At 38.5% G+C, this 18,222-nt stretch overlaps 1 long non-coding RNA gene across 3 annotated transcripts in view; it reads left to right on the top strand.

The window, feature by feature from the left end:
* LOC105377212 (uncharacterized) overlaps positions 1-18,222 on the top strand; it is a 54,563-nt gene that overhangs the window by 1,533 nt on the left and 34,808 nt on the right. Inside the window, exon 2 of one of the 3 annotated variants that reach the window (XR_001755867.2) lies at positions 16,297-16,446. This is a non-coding gene — a long non-coding RNA (uncharacterized LOC105377212). Of the gene's footprint in view, positions 1-15,006; positions 16,447-18,222 lie in introns of those variants that run through there. The other 2 variants (XR_007068254.1, XR_007068252.1) reach the window with 2 other exon arrangements.

The raw sequence follows: 18,222 nt of genomic DNA, 5'->3' as shown, positions 1-18,222 counted from the left end.
AGGGCTGTAAGCCTAATTGGGTTTCAAGATTTAGAGGCTATGGAGATTTCCTAGGGAAAGAGGTGAAGACCTTAAGGATGACCTTTTTGGGGTCTGCACGCAAAGAACATCCTGGAGTGGATGAGTTTCATACTTCAGGGGGAACTTGTTGTACAATGAAAGGCTGTATGTATTGGAGTCAGTATTAAAAGGTAATAATGCCAGTATTGAACAGGCCTGGTTGGAAAACTGAAAGCTAGTTTGAAGTTTTGCCATTATATGCCTCCCAAGCAAAGGGATGGAACAAGTGGGCAAGACCAGAAATAAGTGAGTGAAAATATTTTTTTCCCTAGTTGCATACCAATGCATACCAAAGATGGGGTAAAATAGCTCTGTTTCAGTTGGCCCTCCTTGCTTGTGAGGATTGAGGACCAAAAGTTAGGTCCAGAGAATTTAATTAGGGCAGTGTAACTAGATCCTGTGTCAATAAAAAAACTCAATTTTATATTCTGCTACACACAAGATTACCTGAGATTCAGCAGTAGTGATGGAAAATACAGGAGCCTGGATGGCCTCTGGGACAGTGAGGAAATGGCCCCTCTTGGGGCTTTTTCTTCTCTTTTAAGGTCTCCTCAGCTTTTTCATAATTGAGGAACAAAGTTAAGGGCATTTGCCTTTGCTTTCCTCCCAAGTTGGCCCATAATTGGGACTTGTTTGAGGATGACTACCTATCATGAGGGAGCGAGGAGCATTCCAGTTTCCAGTGTCCCAGTTGCTTGCAGTATTGGCAAAGGCCAGGTGGTGGCAGTAGAAAATCAGGTGACACTCGTGGAGGGTTTTGGCAGTTTCTGTTAATATGCCAAGGCTGGTTATAGCTATAACAGAGAATGGGCCTTTTATTGGTCAGTGGGTGACATCCTGATGCTTGGTCTGTGGTCCCTGGTTTGGGCAGGCAGGTAGCAAAGGCAGCAGCCATATAATGAGCTTGCTGCCTGTCTCTTTCTCTTTCCTTCCTATCCTGTCAGTTCTTGAGGCTTCCTCCCAGTTATTAAAGAATGTAAAGGCCATTTATAGCAAAGTAAGGAAAGGGGTCTGTGGCCTTTGAACTAGTTTTTCAAGCTTATGCCTAACGTCTGGAGAGGCCTAATAAAATACACAGCCACAATAGTGAGGCCCTCTTGGCTCTAGAGATCCATATTAGTGCATTTTCTCATAGCTTCAGCTACCCTAGAGTGGAATAGGGCTGGGTTTTCATTTGGCCCCTGTGTAACTTCTCTTAATGTAGCATAATTTGCAGGTTTAATGACAGCCTTTTTCATCCCCTCAATCAGGCAAGTGATCATATAATTGTGGTGGACTCTATCAGGGTCTCCTTCTTGACAGCCCCATCTAGGATCACTATCATAAACAACTGTTCTTCCTGGTTCAGGGTTCCAAATGTTCCAGGCATGGAATTCTTCTGCCCATCAGTGGGCTAGAGACCAAATGTGGGTCTTTTCCTTATGAGTGCAACAGGTGGTAAAAATAACCTAAATGTTTTGCCAATTGAGATCAAAGGAAACTGCAAGCCCCTTGAATTTCTTCATAAAATGGGAGGGGTACTAACTAAAAGAGCCAAGATTTGCCTCTATTTCAGACAAATCAGACATAGGGAATGAGACATGGGCCCTGATGATTCCTACACCCCCATTTGGCCACTTCTCAGAGCTGCAAACCTTTATCTGATGATGGGAGAGAATCAGAGGTGACTCCTGATCTGGTATGTGGAGGAGAAGTGGTTCTGGGTATGGAGGAGGTAAAGAGGGAGAGACAGAAGGTGTAGCTGAGGAAGGAGGTATTGAAGGGAAAGATGTGTAGTCAGGGAAAATGAATGGAGAGACCAAAGTGGGAGAGGTCTGGAACATGAGAGTGTAAAAGAAGGGTCATCCAAAATGTCTGAGGAATCTAAGGGACTTAAGAATTTTGCCAGTCTCATTCTACAATTGTCTCTAAAGTCTAGGTTTTTTTTTTTTATAGAAACATAAACTTGAACATAGGGCACCTCAGACCATTTGGAAGAGTTATGGCAAAAGAGATCAAGATTTAAAAGAATACTGGAGTCTAGGCTCCCATTCTGGGTCCACTTCAATTTCTGTGGGAGGTGGTAAGGAGGCCATGCTATGTTGCAAAGAAAGATTAGGTGTTTCTTTTTGAGGGGTTGAGGGTCAAATTTGTCCCGATTCTTCAAAATACAGTCTAGAGGTGAGTCTACAGGAATAGATGGGGTTTGTGGAATGAAAAAACATGCCACTTTGGGGCAGTTCCACTTGGGGCATGAACGACACTTTCTGTCAAGACATCTCGCCGAAATGAAAAGAAGGTTCCATTTATGTCCACTGAGGGACTCTGGGTGCACTTTCTAAAGGAGTGTCTCAGTCATTAGAAAAGTCCTCTTGGCTGATCGGAGGCCTCATGCTGGATGGCCAGTTGAGGTACTCATTTATGCTGGGTGATCAGCTCAGGTTTGAAGAAAAAGGGTAAAGGAAGATCTCTGTCTGGTGTTGACCCAGGAGAGTGGGTAGTTAAGGGAAGACTCACTGTTCTGAGGCTGTCTGAGATCACCTGATTTAGCACATCCAGAAAAGGATGATTGGCTGTCTCCACAGGAGAATTTAGAGTGACAGAGGGTCTGAGTCACCTAAAACATGTGCGAATTCACCCTGAACAAGCTTCTGCTGTCAATTGCTTCACATTTTGGCATCAGGGGCTTTTGATCAGAAAAAATAAGAAAGAGCCTTTCTTTTTTCTGGGCAGGGCAGCCAGTCCTGTTCACTCTTTGGCCTTCAGGCGGCACCATAGACTGGCCCTGCCTGTTACTTTTAATTGCCAGAGAGCTAATAGAAGCTGGCAGACAAAAGACTGAAAAGAATAAGTAGACTCAGGTCCCTCACCCTAACGGGCGATGGTGGTCAGACGCTTTCGCAAAGACACCTTCCAGTCCTACTAGAGAGTAGCTCCAGCTACAGTGCAATTGCCTCTGTGCTTAGACACTGTCCAAAGTTCGAAAAAAGAGAGGGGAGAGAGTTCCCCATGAAGAGAGAGTCCCCTTATGGGCCACCAGAATGTTGCCGGTGAGCAATGACTATCTGGGCTGGTGGTGCAGGACTGAAAGAATTTACCAAGACAGTTGTAGGTAGAAAAAAGGCAGATTTATTAGAGAAAGTATGAAAATACATTGTGAAAAGGCAACAGACAGTATCAGTAGAAGAGAAGCTGACAGCCAGGAGCAAAAAGGCTTGCTCAGGATTCTATAGAATGGAACTTGGGAACTTGCATTCTTCTGTCAGCTGGGATATTTGATAAATTGAGGAATTTGATGGTAAGCAGGAAGTTTGTGAGTTATGTATCTTATTGGTTCAGGAGGGCTATATGTCCTGGGCCATAAAACTATAATTTATCAGCTTCCTCTTTTTGTTTATATGTCCTGAACCATGAAGAAAGGCAAAAGGCATAGTTTATTTGCCTCATATCTTTGCTTTCCGCTGGTCCTGCCAGCCTGACTCCTTTTTCCAAATTAGGACTCCACAATATATTGTGTATTTATATTTGTTCAGATAAAAATACTTTTATAATATTGTGCATATTTTTTCTTTCACCAATAATTTATAAATGTATTTTTTAATTTTTAATTATTTTATGATTAAAGATATATTTTTGTTTTCTAACTTTACTGTGGTGGAAGAACATATCTTTTATGATTTCAAACCTTTAAAATTTATAATACTTGTTCCATGGACTAGAATATGGTTTGTCTTGCAGAATATTCCCTGTTGCAAAGAAACAAATGTATATTTTGCTGTTGTTGTGTGGAATGTTTTATAGATGTCTGTTAGGTAAAGTTAGTTAGAAATGTTGTTTAAAGTTTCTCTGTCTTGGCTGAATTTCTGTATCGTTCAATTACTAGATTGCTTTAGTCCCTATTATTGTTGAATTCTCTACTTCTTCCTTCAATTCCTTCAATTATAGTTTTATGTATTGGGTACTCTGCTTTCGGGACATGTGTGAGTTGTCCCGCCTTTCTGAACAAAACCAATGTATTTCTTAAATGTATTTGATTGATGTCTCAGGCCTCCCTAAAATATATAAAACCAAACTGTACCCCTCCCACCTAGGGCTCCTGTTCTTAGGACCTCCTGAGGGCTGTGTCACAGGCCAGGGTCACTCATATTTGGCTTAGAATAAATCTCTTCAAATATTTATTTGAAAATATTTCAGAACACCTGATGTTTTGAGCCCTCTCAGAGGTCATAGACCTCTGGAGAGAGAAACTGAGACACATAAGAGGGTGGAAAGTCAGTGGTAACACACTGTGGAGTCCTGCCCACAGGCAGCACGCATTGAACCATCACAAAAACACCCTAGGCTACAGCTCAGTTCCTCCTTTTCAGAAAAAAAAAAAGGGTGGGGGGTTAAATGAGGAGAAAACAAGGAGAATGACCCCTCTTTTTGGCAATCCATAGGTTTTATGGCACCTCTGCTTGCCAGAGTTTACATAAAATGGAAGTAATATGGTCTTTGTGCACATTGACATTGAGGAAAAATAGGCCTGAGGTCGACCTGCATGCTATAGAGTTCCTAGGTTCTATTTTCTTTTCTGCCTGAAGTCTATTGTTACTTTTCTGCAGAGATAAAAACCACTGTTTGGATCTAACAGTGACTTTCTTTTTCTTTTTCTTTTTTTTTTTTTGAGATGGAGTTTCGCTCTTGTTGCCCAGGCTGGAGTGCAATGACGTGATCTCGGCTCACCGCAACCCCCGCCTCCCGGGTTCAAGAGATTCTCCAGTCTCCGTCCCCTGAGTAGCTGGGATTACAGGCATGTGCCACCACACCCAGCTAAGTTTTGTATTTTTAGTAGAGACGGAGTTTCTCCGTGTTGGTCAGGATAGTCTCGAACTCCAAACCTCAGATGATCCGCCCGCCTTGGCCTCCCAATGTGTTGGGATTACAGGCGTGAGCCACCGTGCCCGACCTAATAGTGTTTTTTGTTTGTTTGTTTGTTTTGCTTTTTTTCTTTTTTTTGCAAGCTGGCAAAATTATATTTATTTCATAACTAAAGTACTGAAGCAATAGCAATGGGAACTTTGTGTGTGTGAATGTGTGTATGTATATGTGTGTGTATATATTTGAAGGCCTTTATAATAGGCTTATTTACTTTTATGTTCAATTGGCAACTGAATCCATTTAAAATTTCTCTCTAGCACACCAGACTTTTTCTTCTTACCTTACAATGTAAATTTTGCTATCATCTGATTTTCACCTGAGTTGCCTGTAATATGCAAATCTGAGGCTATTTAAATGACAACTGACTAAGTTAAGATAGAAACATGGAAAAAAAGGTCTTTATGAATCTATAAGATGTATTTCTATCAGCATGCCTAACACGTCTATATATGTATATGTTGTGTATACAGTATTTTCACTACTAAAAAAATAAAGAGCTCTGATTAATGGGCTTAAAATATATAAAAGCGCTTAAATCAAATACTTAAATGACTAGTCAAATGCTTTTTCAAGTTCACGTGACTTAAGTAAAATCTTTAAATAAGCCAGCTTTAAAATTATTGGTAAAATAATATCATCAATGTTAGCATTTTTTGTTTGCTTTATTGTAGTTTTATGTTTATTCCCACAGAGTACTATAAGATTTGCCATAAAGGTTATAAACTATAAAACTCAGCCCAAGACAGAATGATCATTGCTTGTATATGCTTATGAAATATTGTTGGCTTAAATGAAAACAGCTAAACCCTGAGTTATTGGTATAAATATCCTTAAATTTAACCATAAGTTTTATTACATAAGTAAATACCTGAAATTCAGAGCTATAAAAATGGTAAACAGGAAAATAACTTTAAATATTGTTTATCACAGTTTTTTAAAATAATCTAGGTAAACTATTAAATTAATCAGGTAAATGTAATTGAATAAATGCTTGTAAACAAACTTGACATAATTTAGGATCTAAGGTTATTATTTGGTATTAAATATCTGGATAAATTCCAATTGAAAAATTATAGGAAAACTTTTTTTTTATTACACTTTAAGTTCTAGGGCACAACGTGGAGGTTTGTTACATATGTATACATGTGCCATGTTGGTGTTCTGCACCCATTAACTCAACATTTACATTAGGTATTTCTCCTAATGCTATCTCCTCTCCTCCCCCCACCTCACAACAGGCCCTGGTGTGTGATGTTCCCCACCCTGTATCCATGTGTTCTCATTGTTCAATACCCACCTATGAGTGAGAACACGTGGTGTTTGGTTTTCTGTCCTTGTGATAGTTTGCTGAGAATGATGGTTTCCAGCTTCATCCATGTCCCTACAAAGGACATGAACTCATCCTTTTTTTGGCTGCATAGTATTCCACAGTGTATATGTGCCACATTTTCTTAATCCAGTCTATCACTGATGGACATTTGGGTTGGTTCCAAGTCTTTGCTATTGTGAATAGTGCCGCAATAAACATACATGTGCATGTGTTTTTATAGTAGCATGATTTATAATCCTTTGGGTATATACCCAGTAACGGGATGACTGGGTCAAATGGGATTTCTAGTTCTAGATCCCTGAGGAATCACCACACTGACTTGCACAATGGTTGAACTAGTTTACAGTCCCACCAACAGTGTAAAAGTGTTCCTATTTCTCCATATCCTCTCCAGCACCTGTTGTTTCCTGACTTTTTAATGATCGTCATTCTAACTGGTGTGAGATGGTATCTCATTGTGGTTTTGATTTGCAATTCTCTGATGGCCAGTGATGATGAGCATTTTTTCATGTGTCTTTTGGCTGCATAAATGTCTTCTTTCGAGAAGTGTCTGTTCATATCCTTTGCCCGCTTTTCGTTGGGGTTGTTTGACTTTTTCTTGTAAATTTGTTTAAGTTCTTTGTAGATTCTGGATATTAGCCCTTTGTCAGATGAGTAGATTGCAAAAATTTTCTCCTATTCTGTAGGTTGCCTGTTCACTCTGATGGTAGTTTCTTTTGCTGTGCAGAAGCTCTTTAGTTTAATTAGATCCCATTTGTCAATTTTGGCTTCTGTTGCCGTTGGTTTTGGTGTTTTAAACATGAAGTCCTTGCCCATGCCTATGTCCTGAGTGGCATTGACTAGGTTTTCTTCTAGGTTTTTTATGGTTTTAGGTCTAACATTTAAGTCTTTAATCCATCTTGAATTCCAGTTTCAGCTTTCTACATATGGCTAGCCATTTTTCCCAGCACCATTTATTAAATAGGGAATCCTTTCCCCATTGCTTGTTTTTGCCAGGTTTGTCAAAGATCAGATGGTTGTAGATGTGTGGTATTATTTCTGAGGGCTCTGTTCTGTTCCATTGTTGTATATCTCTGTTTTGGTAGCAGTGTTTTGGTTACTGTAGCCCTGTAGTATAGTTTGAAATCAGGTATCGTGATGCCTCCAGCTTCGTTCTTTTGGCTTAGGATTGTCTTGGCAATGCGGGCTCCTTTTTGGTTCCATATGAACTTTAAAGTAGTCTTTTCCAATTCTGTGAAGAAAGTCATTGGTAGTTTGATGGGGATGGCATTGAAAGGAAAACATTTTTTAAATGTTCTTATTTAAAGGTAAAATATCTTTGTCTAATTCAAAGCTTATTTAAGGGTTATGTATGAAACAAGGTAAAGGAATCAGGAAATAAGAGATGTAAAAAGAGTTAAGGATATAAAGAGGTATTTTTGTTAAAAAAAAAAAAGGTTAAAAAAGTAATGTTATATAAGAAAGAATCTTGTGTAGTAAATATTTATCCTAAAATAAAATGATGGGGTTGCTCAAGAAAGAGGGACATTTAAGACAAAAGAGTCTAAACAAATTGTGAATGAATTATGTAAGTAATAATAAGGTTAGTAAGAAGGAATTTTTAAAGGGGTTTGTATAATTCAATTGGCTGTGATTAAGAAGAAATTATAATAGTTTTTCTGGAGATGGGTTTTGATATTAAAAATACACTAATACAAAACTGAAAAATTAGTTAAAAAACAAGATTATTATAAATATTTAACTTACTTTTAATGCAAAATTTTTAAATTTTAAGATTCTATGATCAGTCTCTGTAACATTCTTCAGACTGATATCTCAGAAGTTCAATTCTTTCTCCTTTGGAAAGGCCTTAATAGCTCTCTCCTTCACCTTTTGTTGACTACTGTAACTTTTATTAATTATCTAAAGTAAGTGAGGAAGTTTTTTGAAAATAGGCAAATACAATATCTTTTGGGCCTGCCTTTTTATTGTGCATGCCTGTTATATCTCTATCTTTATGTGTCATGTAGAAGTGATATTTCACTATCAAACTACATGAAAAAGCTCTAATCAAGTAACTTAAAAAATGTGAATGCTTACCAAATTTGTACAACCTAGCTGAGATGTCTTTTAGTTCACATGACCTTGGTAATCTTTGGTAAAATAAATTTTGAAAATTAAATCTCAAAACTCTCTGTAGTAATTTAATATCTTAAAATTATGTTAAAACTTCAGTTTTTTTTCTCCACTGGAAATTTGGGGTACTAAAAGTTAAAATAGTAGGAGCATAAAATATGCTATTAAAAATTTTATTAAACACAAGGATGTCAATTTTCAAAAAAGCAAGGTTTTTTTGGTTAAGAACTATTTAAGAGTTGCTTTATAATGAAGGAAATTATACAGATAAAATGAAATGGATAGAAAAATAAGCTAGGGCAACAAAAACTAACTCTAAGTCCTGTGGTTATCAAGAAAAATAGTTGATATAGGGGAAGGGTACAACCAAGTAACCACTAAAAACCAGATGGTGTAATGCAAAGGAACTGTTCAATTTTGTAGACTGGTATCATTCAGTTACTTTAAAAGTAGTAGATTGTAAAAATAACCACTTTAAGGCCAAATTATTAATTTTAAATGCTACAGAATTTAAGGGCTTATTTGGATTAATGCAGGGCCCACAGCTCATTACTGAACAATCACTGAGTATCTGCAATCCACATGCATAGAGGGTTATTCCTGAGAAAGCAATCAGCCTAGTGGGCCAGATAATGCCATTATAAGGTCTGTTTGCTCCGCGAAGGGGACTGTCCAACTCTCTCTATAAAATAGCAAGTGGGAGAGAGCCAAGATGGCTGAATAGGAACAGCTCCAGTCTACAGCTCCCAGCGTGAGCGACACAGAAGATGGGAGATTTCTGCCTTTCTAACTGAGGCTTAACAAATGGCCCACCAGGAGATTATATCCTGCGCATGGTTCAGAGGGTCCTACACCCATGGAGCCTCACTCATTGCTAGCACAGCAGTCTGAGATCAAACTGCAAGGGGGCAGTTAGGTGGGGGGAGGGGCACCCACCATTGCCAAGGATTGAGTAGGTAAACAAAGCAGCTGGGAAGCTTGAACTGGGTGGAGACCACCACAGTTCAAGGAGGCCAGCCTGCCTCTGTAGGCTCCACCTCTGGGGGCAGGGCACAGACAAACAAAAGGCAGCAGTAACCTCTGCAGACTTAAATGTCCCTGTCTGACAGATTTGAAGAGAGTAGTGGTTCTCCCAGCACCCAGCTTGAGATCTGAGAATGGGCAGACTGCCTCCTCAAGTGGGTCCCTGACCCCCGAGTAGCCTAACTGGGAGGCACATCCCAGTAGGGGCGGACTGACACCTCACAGGGCCGGGTACTCCTCTGAGACAAAACTTCCAGAGGAACGATCAGGCAGCAGCATTTGCAGTTCACCATATCCGCTGTTCTGCAGCCTCCACTGCTGATACCCAGGCAAACAGGGTCTGGAGTGGACCTCTGGCAAACTCCAACACACTTGCAGCTGAGGGTGCTGACTGTTAGAAGGAAAATTAACAAACAGAAAGGACATCCACACCAAAACCCCACCTGTTTGTCACCATCATCAAAGACCAAAGGTAGATAAAACCACAAAGATGGGGAAAAAACAGAGCAGAAAAACTGGAAGCTCTAAAAATCAGAGCACCTCTCCTCCTCCAAAGGAGCGCAGCTCCTCACCAGCAATGGAACAAAGCTGGACAGAGAATGACTTTGACGTGTTGTGAGAAGAAGGCTTCAGAAGATCAAACTTCTCCGAGCTAAAGGAGGAAGTTCGAACCCAAGGCAAAGAAGTTAAAAACCTTGAAAAAAAATAGACGAATGGCTAACTAGAATAACCAATGCAGAGAAGTCCTTAAAGGACCTGATGGAGCTGAAAACCATGGCACGAGAACTAAATGACGAATGCACAAGACTCAGTAGCCGATGCGATCACCTGGAAGAAAGTGTATTAGTGATGGAAGATGAAATGAATGAAATGAAGTGAGAAGAGAAGTTTAGAGAAAAAAGAATAAAGAGAAATGAACAAAGCCTCCAAGAAATCTGGGACTATGTGAAAAGACCAAATCTACATCTGATTGGTGTACCTGAAAGTGATGGGGAGAATGGAACCAAGTTGGAAAACACTCTGCAGGATATTATCCAGGATAACTTCCCCAATCTAGCAAGGCAGGGCAACATTCAAATTCAGGAAATACAGAGAATGCCACAAAGATACTCCTCGAGAAGAGCAACTCCAAGAAACATAATTGTCAGATTCACCAAAGTTGAAATGAAGGAAAAAATGCTAAAGGCAGCCAGAGAGAAAGGTCAGGTTACCCACAAAGGGAAGCCCATCAGACTAACAGCTGACGTCTTGGCAGAAACTCTACAAGCCAGAAGAGAGATGGGGCTAATATTCAACATTCTTAAAGAAAAGAATTTTCAACCCAGAATTTCATATCCAGCCAAACTAAGCTCCATAAGTGAAGGAGAAATAAAATACTTAACAGACAAGCAAATGCTGAGAGATTTTGTCACCACCAGGCCTGCCCTAAAAGACCTCCTGAAGGAAGCACTAAACATGGAAAGGAACAACCGGTACCAGCCACTGCAAAAACATGCCAAATTGTAAAGTCCACCAAGGCTAGGAAGAAACTGCATCAACTAACGAGCAAAATAACCAGCTAAGATGATAATGACAGGATCAAATTCACACATAACAATACTAACCTTAAAAGTAAATGGGCTAAATGCTCCAACTAAAAGACACAGACTGGCACATTGGATAAAGAGTCAAGACCCATCAGTGTGCTGTATTCAGGAAACCCATCTCACATGCAGAGACACACATAGGCTCAAAATAAAGGGATGGAGGAAGATCTACCAAGCAAATGGAAAACAAAAAAAGGCAGGGGTTGCAATCCTAGTCTTGGATAAAACAGACTTTAATCCAACAAAGATCAAAAGAGACAAAGAAGGCCATTACATAATGATAAAGGGATCAATTCAACAAGAAGAGGTAACTCTCCAAAATATATGTGCATCCAATACAGGAGCACCCAGATTCATAAAGCAAGTCCTTAGTGACATACAAAGAAACTTAGACTCCCACACAATAATAATGGGAGATTTTAACACCTCACTGTCAACATTAGACAGATCAATGAGACAGAAAGTTAACAAGGATATCCAGGAATTGAACTCAGCTCTGCACCAAGCAGACCTAATAGACATCTAAAGAACTCTCCACCCCAAATCAACAGAATATACATTCTTTTCAGCACCACACCACACCTATTCCAAAATTGACCACACAGATGGAAGTAAAGCACTCCACAGCAAATGTACAAGAACAGAAATTATAACAAACTGTCTCTCAGACCACAGTGCAATCAAACTAGAACTCCGGATAAAGAAACTCACTCAAAACCGCTCAACTACATGGAAACTGAACAACCTGCTCCTGAACGACAACTGGGTACATAACGAAATGAAGGCAGAAATAAAGATGTTCCTTGAAACCAACAAGAAAAAAGACACAACATACCAGAATCTCTGGGACACATTCAAAGCAGTGTGTAGAGGGAAATTTATAGCACTAAATGTCCACAAGAGAAAGCAGGAAAGATCTAAAATTGACACTCTAACATCACAATTAGAAGAACTAGAGAAGCAAGAGCAAACACATTCAAAAGCTAGCAGAAGGCAAGAAATAACTAAGATCAGAGCATAACTGAAGGAAATAGAGACACAAAAAACCTTTCAAGAAATCAGTGAATCCAGGAGCTGATTTTTTGAAAAGATCAACAAAATTGATAGACTGTTAGCAAGGTTAACAAAGAAGAAAAGAGAGAAGAATCAAATAGACACTATAATAAATGATAAAGGGTATATCACCACTGATTCCACAGAAATACAAACTACCATCAGAGAATACTATAAACACCTCTACAGAAATAAACTAGAAAATCTAGAAGAAATGGATAAATTCCTCAACACATACACTCTCCCAAGACTAAAGTATAAAGAAGTCGAATCTCTGAATTAGACCAATAAGAGGCTCTGAATTTGAGGCAATAATGAGTAGCTTACGAGCCAAAAAAAGTCCAGGACCAGATGGATTCACAGCCAAATTCTACCAGAGGTACAAGGAGGAGCTGGTACCATTCTTTCTGAAACTATTCCAATCAATAGAAAAAGAGGGAATCCTCCCTAACTCATTTTATGAGGCCAGCATCATCCTGATACCAAAGCTTGGCAGAGACACAACAAAAAAAGAGAATTTTAGGCCAGTATCCCTGATGAACACTGATGCAAAAATCCTCAATAAAATACTGGCAAACTGAATCCAGCAGCACATCAAAAAGCTTATCCACCATGATCAAGTGGGCTTCATCCCTGGGATGCAAGGCTGGTTCAACATACGAAAATCTATAAATGTAATGCAGCATATAAACAGAAACAAAGACAAAAACCACATGATTATCTATATAGATGCATAAAAGCCTCTGACGAAATTCAACAACCCTTCATTCTAAAAATTCTCAATATTAGGTATTGGTGGGACTTATCTGAAAATAGTAATAGCTATCTATGAAAACCCAAAGCCAATATCATACTGAATGGACAAAAACTGGAAGGATTCCCTTTGAAAACTGGCACAAGACAGGGATGCCCTCTCTCACCACTCCTATTCAACATAGTGTTGGAAATTCTGGCCAGGGCAATCAGGCAGGAGAAGGAAATAAAGGGCATTCAATTAGGAAAAGAGGAAGTCAAATTGTCCCTGTTTGCAGATGACATGATGGTATATATATAAAACCCCACCGTCTCAGCCCAAAATCTCCTTAAGCTGATAAGCAAAGTAAGCAAAGTCTCAGGATACAAAATCAATGTGCAAAAATCACAAGCATTCTTATAAGCCAATAGCAGAAAAACAGAGAGCCAAATCATGAGTGAACTCCCATTCACAATTGCTTCAAAGAGAATAAAATACCTAGGAATCCAGCTTACAAAGGATGTGAAGGACCTCTTCAAGGAGAACTACAAACCACTGCTCAATGAAATAAAAGAGGATACAAACAAATGGAAGAACATTCCATGCTCATGGGCAGGAAGAATCAATATCGTGAAAATGGCCATGTGTCCCAAGGTAATTTATAGATTCAATGCCATCCCCATCAAGCTACCAATGACTTTCTTCACAAAAGTGGAAAAAGCTACTTTAAAGTTCATATGGAACCAAAAAAGAGTTCGCATTGCCAAGTCAATCCTAAGCCAAAAGAACAAAGCTGGAGGCATCACGCTACCTGACTTCAAACTATACTACAAGGCTACAGTAACCAAAACAGCATGGTACTGGTACCGAAACAGAGATATAGAACAACGGAACAGAAGAGAGCCCTCAGAAATAATGCCACATATCTACAACCATCTGATCTTTGACAAACCTGACAAAAACAAGCAATATGGAAAGGATTCCCTATTTAATAAATGGTGCTGGGAAAACTGGCTAGCCATATGTAGAAAGCTGAAACTGGATCCCTTCCTTACACCCTATACAAAAATTAATTCAAGATGGATTAAAGACTTACATGTTAGACCTAAAACCATAAAAACCCTAGAAGAAAACCTAGGCAATACCATTCAGGACATAGGCATGGGCAAGGACTTCATGACTAAAACACCAAAAGCAATCCAACAAAAGCCAAAATTGACAAATGGGATCTAATGAAACTAAAGAGCTTCTGCACAGCAAAAGAAACCACCATCAGAGTGAACAGGCAACCTACAGAATGGGAGAAAATTTTTGCAACCTACTCATCTGACAAAGGGCTAATATCCAGAATCTACAATGAACTCAAACAAATTTACAAGAGAAAAACAAACAACCCCATCAAAAAGTGGGCAAAGGATATGAACAGACACTTCTCAAAAGAAGACATTTATGCAGCCAAAAAACACAAGAAAAAATGCTCATCATCACTGACCATCAGAGAAATGCAAATCAAAACCACAATGAGATACCATCTCACACCAGTTAGAATGGTGATCATTAAAAAATCAGGAAACAACAGGTGGTGGAGAGGATGTGGAGAAATAGGAACATTTTACACTGTTTGTGGGGCTGTAAACTAGTTCAACCATTGTGGAAGTCAGTGTGGCGATTCCTCAGCGATCTAGAACTAGAAATCCCATTTGACCCAGCCATCCCATTACTGGGTATATACCCAAAGGATTATAAATCATGCTGCTACAAAGACACATGCACAAATATGTTTATTGTGGCACTATTCACAATAGCAAAGACTTGGAACCAACCCAAATGTCCAACAATGCTAGATTGGATTAAGAATATGTGGCACATATACACCATGGAATACTATGCAGCCATAAAAAATGAAGAGTTCATGTCCTTTGTAGGGACATGGATGAAACTGGAAACCATCATTCTCAGCAAACTATCGCAAGGACAAAAAACCAAACGCCACATGTTCTCACTCATAGGTGGGAATTGAACAATGAGAATACATGGACACAGGAAGGGGAACATCACACACCGGGGACTGTTGTGGGGTGGGGGGAGGGTGGAGGTATAGCATTAGGAGATATACCTAATGCTAAATGTTGAGTTAATGGGTACAGCACACCAACATGGCACCTGTATACATATGTAAGAAACCTGCTCATTGTGCACATGTACCCTAAATCTTAAAATGTAATAATAATAAAAAAAAATAGCAAGTGAAGTACCCCAGATGAAGCCGTTAATATATTTCATATGCAAGCTGTGAGAGACTAGCTTTATAATAACTGTGATATCCTCCCACCAAATTTGTCTATCGTCTGGGTCATGGTATATTTGATGGTTAAGGGGGGCCCTTTTATATGGGTGCCCCTCTCACAGAATTATGGGTCTTTTTAAGAAGGCTTATCAAATCTGTCCCTCATATGCCTTAAAGATGCAACTCCCTGCTGGGAACCCAAGTCTTTTTCACCAGAAAAATTAAAGTGGTCTGGGGTTAAAAAAGACTTCTGGGGACCAGAACATAAAACATACAGATTAATAGAATTATAAAATGTAAGATGTTTAAACAAGCTCTCTGTGAGGTAGTTGTAACCCCTTTTACCTAAATGTCTTATGAAAATGGATAGTATATCTAACTGTGGAATGTTTTCCTCTTTCTAGTACTGTAAAGCTGAAGACATGTAAATCTGCTCATGTAAATCCTCCACTGCATAGTCTTTTGTTTGGAGCATTTATGGGGCTTATGGTAAAAACCGTGTGTACTTTTCAGTAACAACGACTGAGCTAGAGAATTTCTACTTCGTGGGGCATTTACTGCCTTGCTGTGGAATATTAACTGGAGCTACCCCTATACTAATGGGAATAATGTTTTCCAAAAAGTTCCATGGTAAAATAAAAATGGTTTACATAAAATCTTGCTATATAATAAGCAGAGAGCCTTTTTCTAGGACTAATTGTAAGAAGCTGCTAAATTCTATAGTGCCAAATAGCTCTCATGAGCTGTTTGGTTTGTAAATGACATTTCCAAGGTAAACAAACATCTTGTCTTAAAAGCTGCTGCTCTGGTTAAAAGAGGGTCAAGACATTTTTTTTTAAGTTATTTGGAAAAAGTATGTTTTTGTAAGCAAATTTACCTTTCTGAGTTCTCCAAAATTCAGATTGTGATTTTATAACATTATAATTGTCTGCATTAGTTTAATGATAATTAAAAAATAATTGTTTTAAGGGAAAAGTGTGACACTTAATACTAGATTTCAGTCCTAACTTTTTAAGTGCAGATTAAATTATTGTTCTTGGCTACAATAATCCTCTAGAAAGTACCAGATTGTAATTTTTCTTCATATTTTTAGTTGGTGCCCTAATAGAATAGGGCACCTTTCTATTTCCTTTTTCTGTTCTAACATACAAATTATTCTATAATTGTCAAACTATAAATGTTATTTATCTCTCCTTGTTTTACTTCCAAGGAAACCAAAATCATGGTATTCTGAAGACCAGAGATATGAATCTCCTTCATTTGGCATCCCACCGGCCCCGATCTGTTTCACTGCTAATGTTCTGCTGCCAAAACTATACAAGCTGCCTCACCCCTAGGCCCAGGGACTATCACAGAAGAGGTGGGTGCATAAGATTGTAAGGGCCGGTTTTCAGTAATAAATTAGGTCAAGATCAAACCCTCCAAATCAAGAAGGGGGTACAAAAAAATGCCTAAACAATTAGTAAAACAACTTTAGTTGCCTTCTAAATTATAATATGTCACTTTTGCATCCACACCAACCATAAAAATTTTCTGCTTACGATAAAATTAAAGAAAAATATTTACTAACAGGATAAAATAACTTGAAACAAAGCCTCCTGAGTATCATACTCCAAGTATAAGTTGTAAAGATAAAAATATATTTATACATATTTTTTATTATATTTTAAAATAATGCTTATGTTTTGTATAGCTAATTGCTGTAAGTCTGTAACAGAAACCAAGCTTACTGTAGCTCAACACATAAAAGTTAAAAATAAGTCAGTCTTGTAACTTTGCCTTTTGGTTTTATTGTCAGCTTTTTAAACTTAAAATAATAATTTTAAGAAGTAATGAATGCCTTTCCACATCCATTCCTATATGGCCTAAAATAATTGGGTATAAGTCTTTTGACTCTGAAGGTCCTCGGCCATAGGGAGTCCTGCTGAGGAAAAAATGACACTGTAGAATTACATGACTTCTCCTGTGACAGAACCTTTTCTCTCCCGAATACCAGTATATGGTGCAATACAAAAGTATTGGGAAAAATAGATTTGTCTACTGTTAACAAGTCTATAACAATTTACACAATGAGGATGAGGTGTTTCTTGCATGTAATATATACCCTTCTCAGGATGCTATATCTATGGAGATAAATTGGCTGGAAGAGAAATTAAATTTATTAAATTCAAACTTAATGTTGGTCCTACAATTCTCAAATAAGATTTACCATAAAGGTCAAGTAACCCTTGATAAGGAGGGTAAACACATTGTGAGTCTGATCAAATAATATAATGATGCATGCAGAGTTTTTTTTTCTGTTTGGTTGGGTTGTTTACTGCCCTCTGATTCTACCTATAACCTTGGACACCCAAATATTCACTATCTTTATGATGTTTGTTACTATATTAACATTAGACATTTCTTGTAAATGTTATGCCAGATACAGCAGAAGGAAAAGGCACAGTTAAAGACCTGGATCATGATAGCTCAGAAAATAGATCTGATCTGGAATTTTTTTAGACTAAACCCTTGGCCTGACTCCATCTCACCCCTTAAACAATTGGCTATTACATCAGGTCAGACCATGTCCTCCCCACATTGTCCAAATCGTTAATATTTAAAATTATTACCATCAAGTCAGAGAACTCTAGGAACAAGTCTTCCTAGCACCATGGGACCCTGCCAAATGGCCAAATCAGACAACTTTAGGAATGAGCCTCCCTAGTGCTGTGGGAGTTTTTTGGCCTGCATATGCATTCCATGGAATGCTTTTTGGCCAAGAGGTGGCACTGAAGAATAAGCTCTGATTTTTTTACCTTGCCCAAATTCCTATCTAAGGAGTCTGGGGAGTCATGCCCTACAAACCATAAATTCTCATCAGATGGGTTTTATTTAACCCTATATATCATGACTTACTTTCCAATCTGACTCTGGCATAACATTCTGAGACAAGGAAGAAAATAAAAGTATTTTACCCCAAAACATGTTTCTCTAATGGCCCTGAAAATCTCCATCTGTGAAGAATCTCTATTAACATAGTTAGATCTTTTTCTTCCAGGCCCTTCCAATCCTGAATAGATTAACTGAAAGTAGCACCTTTTAAAGATCTGAATAGGGAATATTTTTCACCTATTGTCTCTAAGGACAGCCACTA

This window comes from Homo sapiens, chromosome X (assembly GCF_000001405.40).
Source record: "Homo sapiens chromosome X, GRCh38.p14 Primary Assembly".
In the NCBI taxonomy this organism is placed as follows: domain Eukaryota; kingdom Metazoa; phylum Chordata; class Mammalia; order Primates; family Hominidae; genus Homo; species Homo sapiens.
The sequence above is the reverse complement of the archived record's forward strand: the minus strand, read 5'-3'. Positions and strand labels throughout refer to the sequence as shown.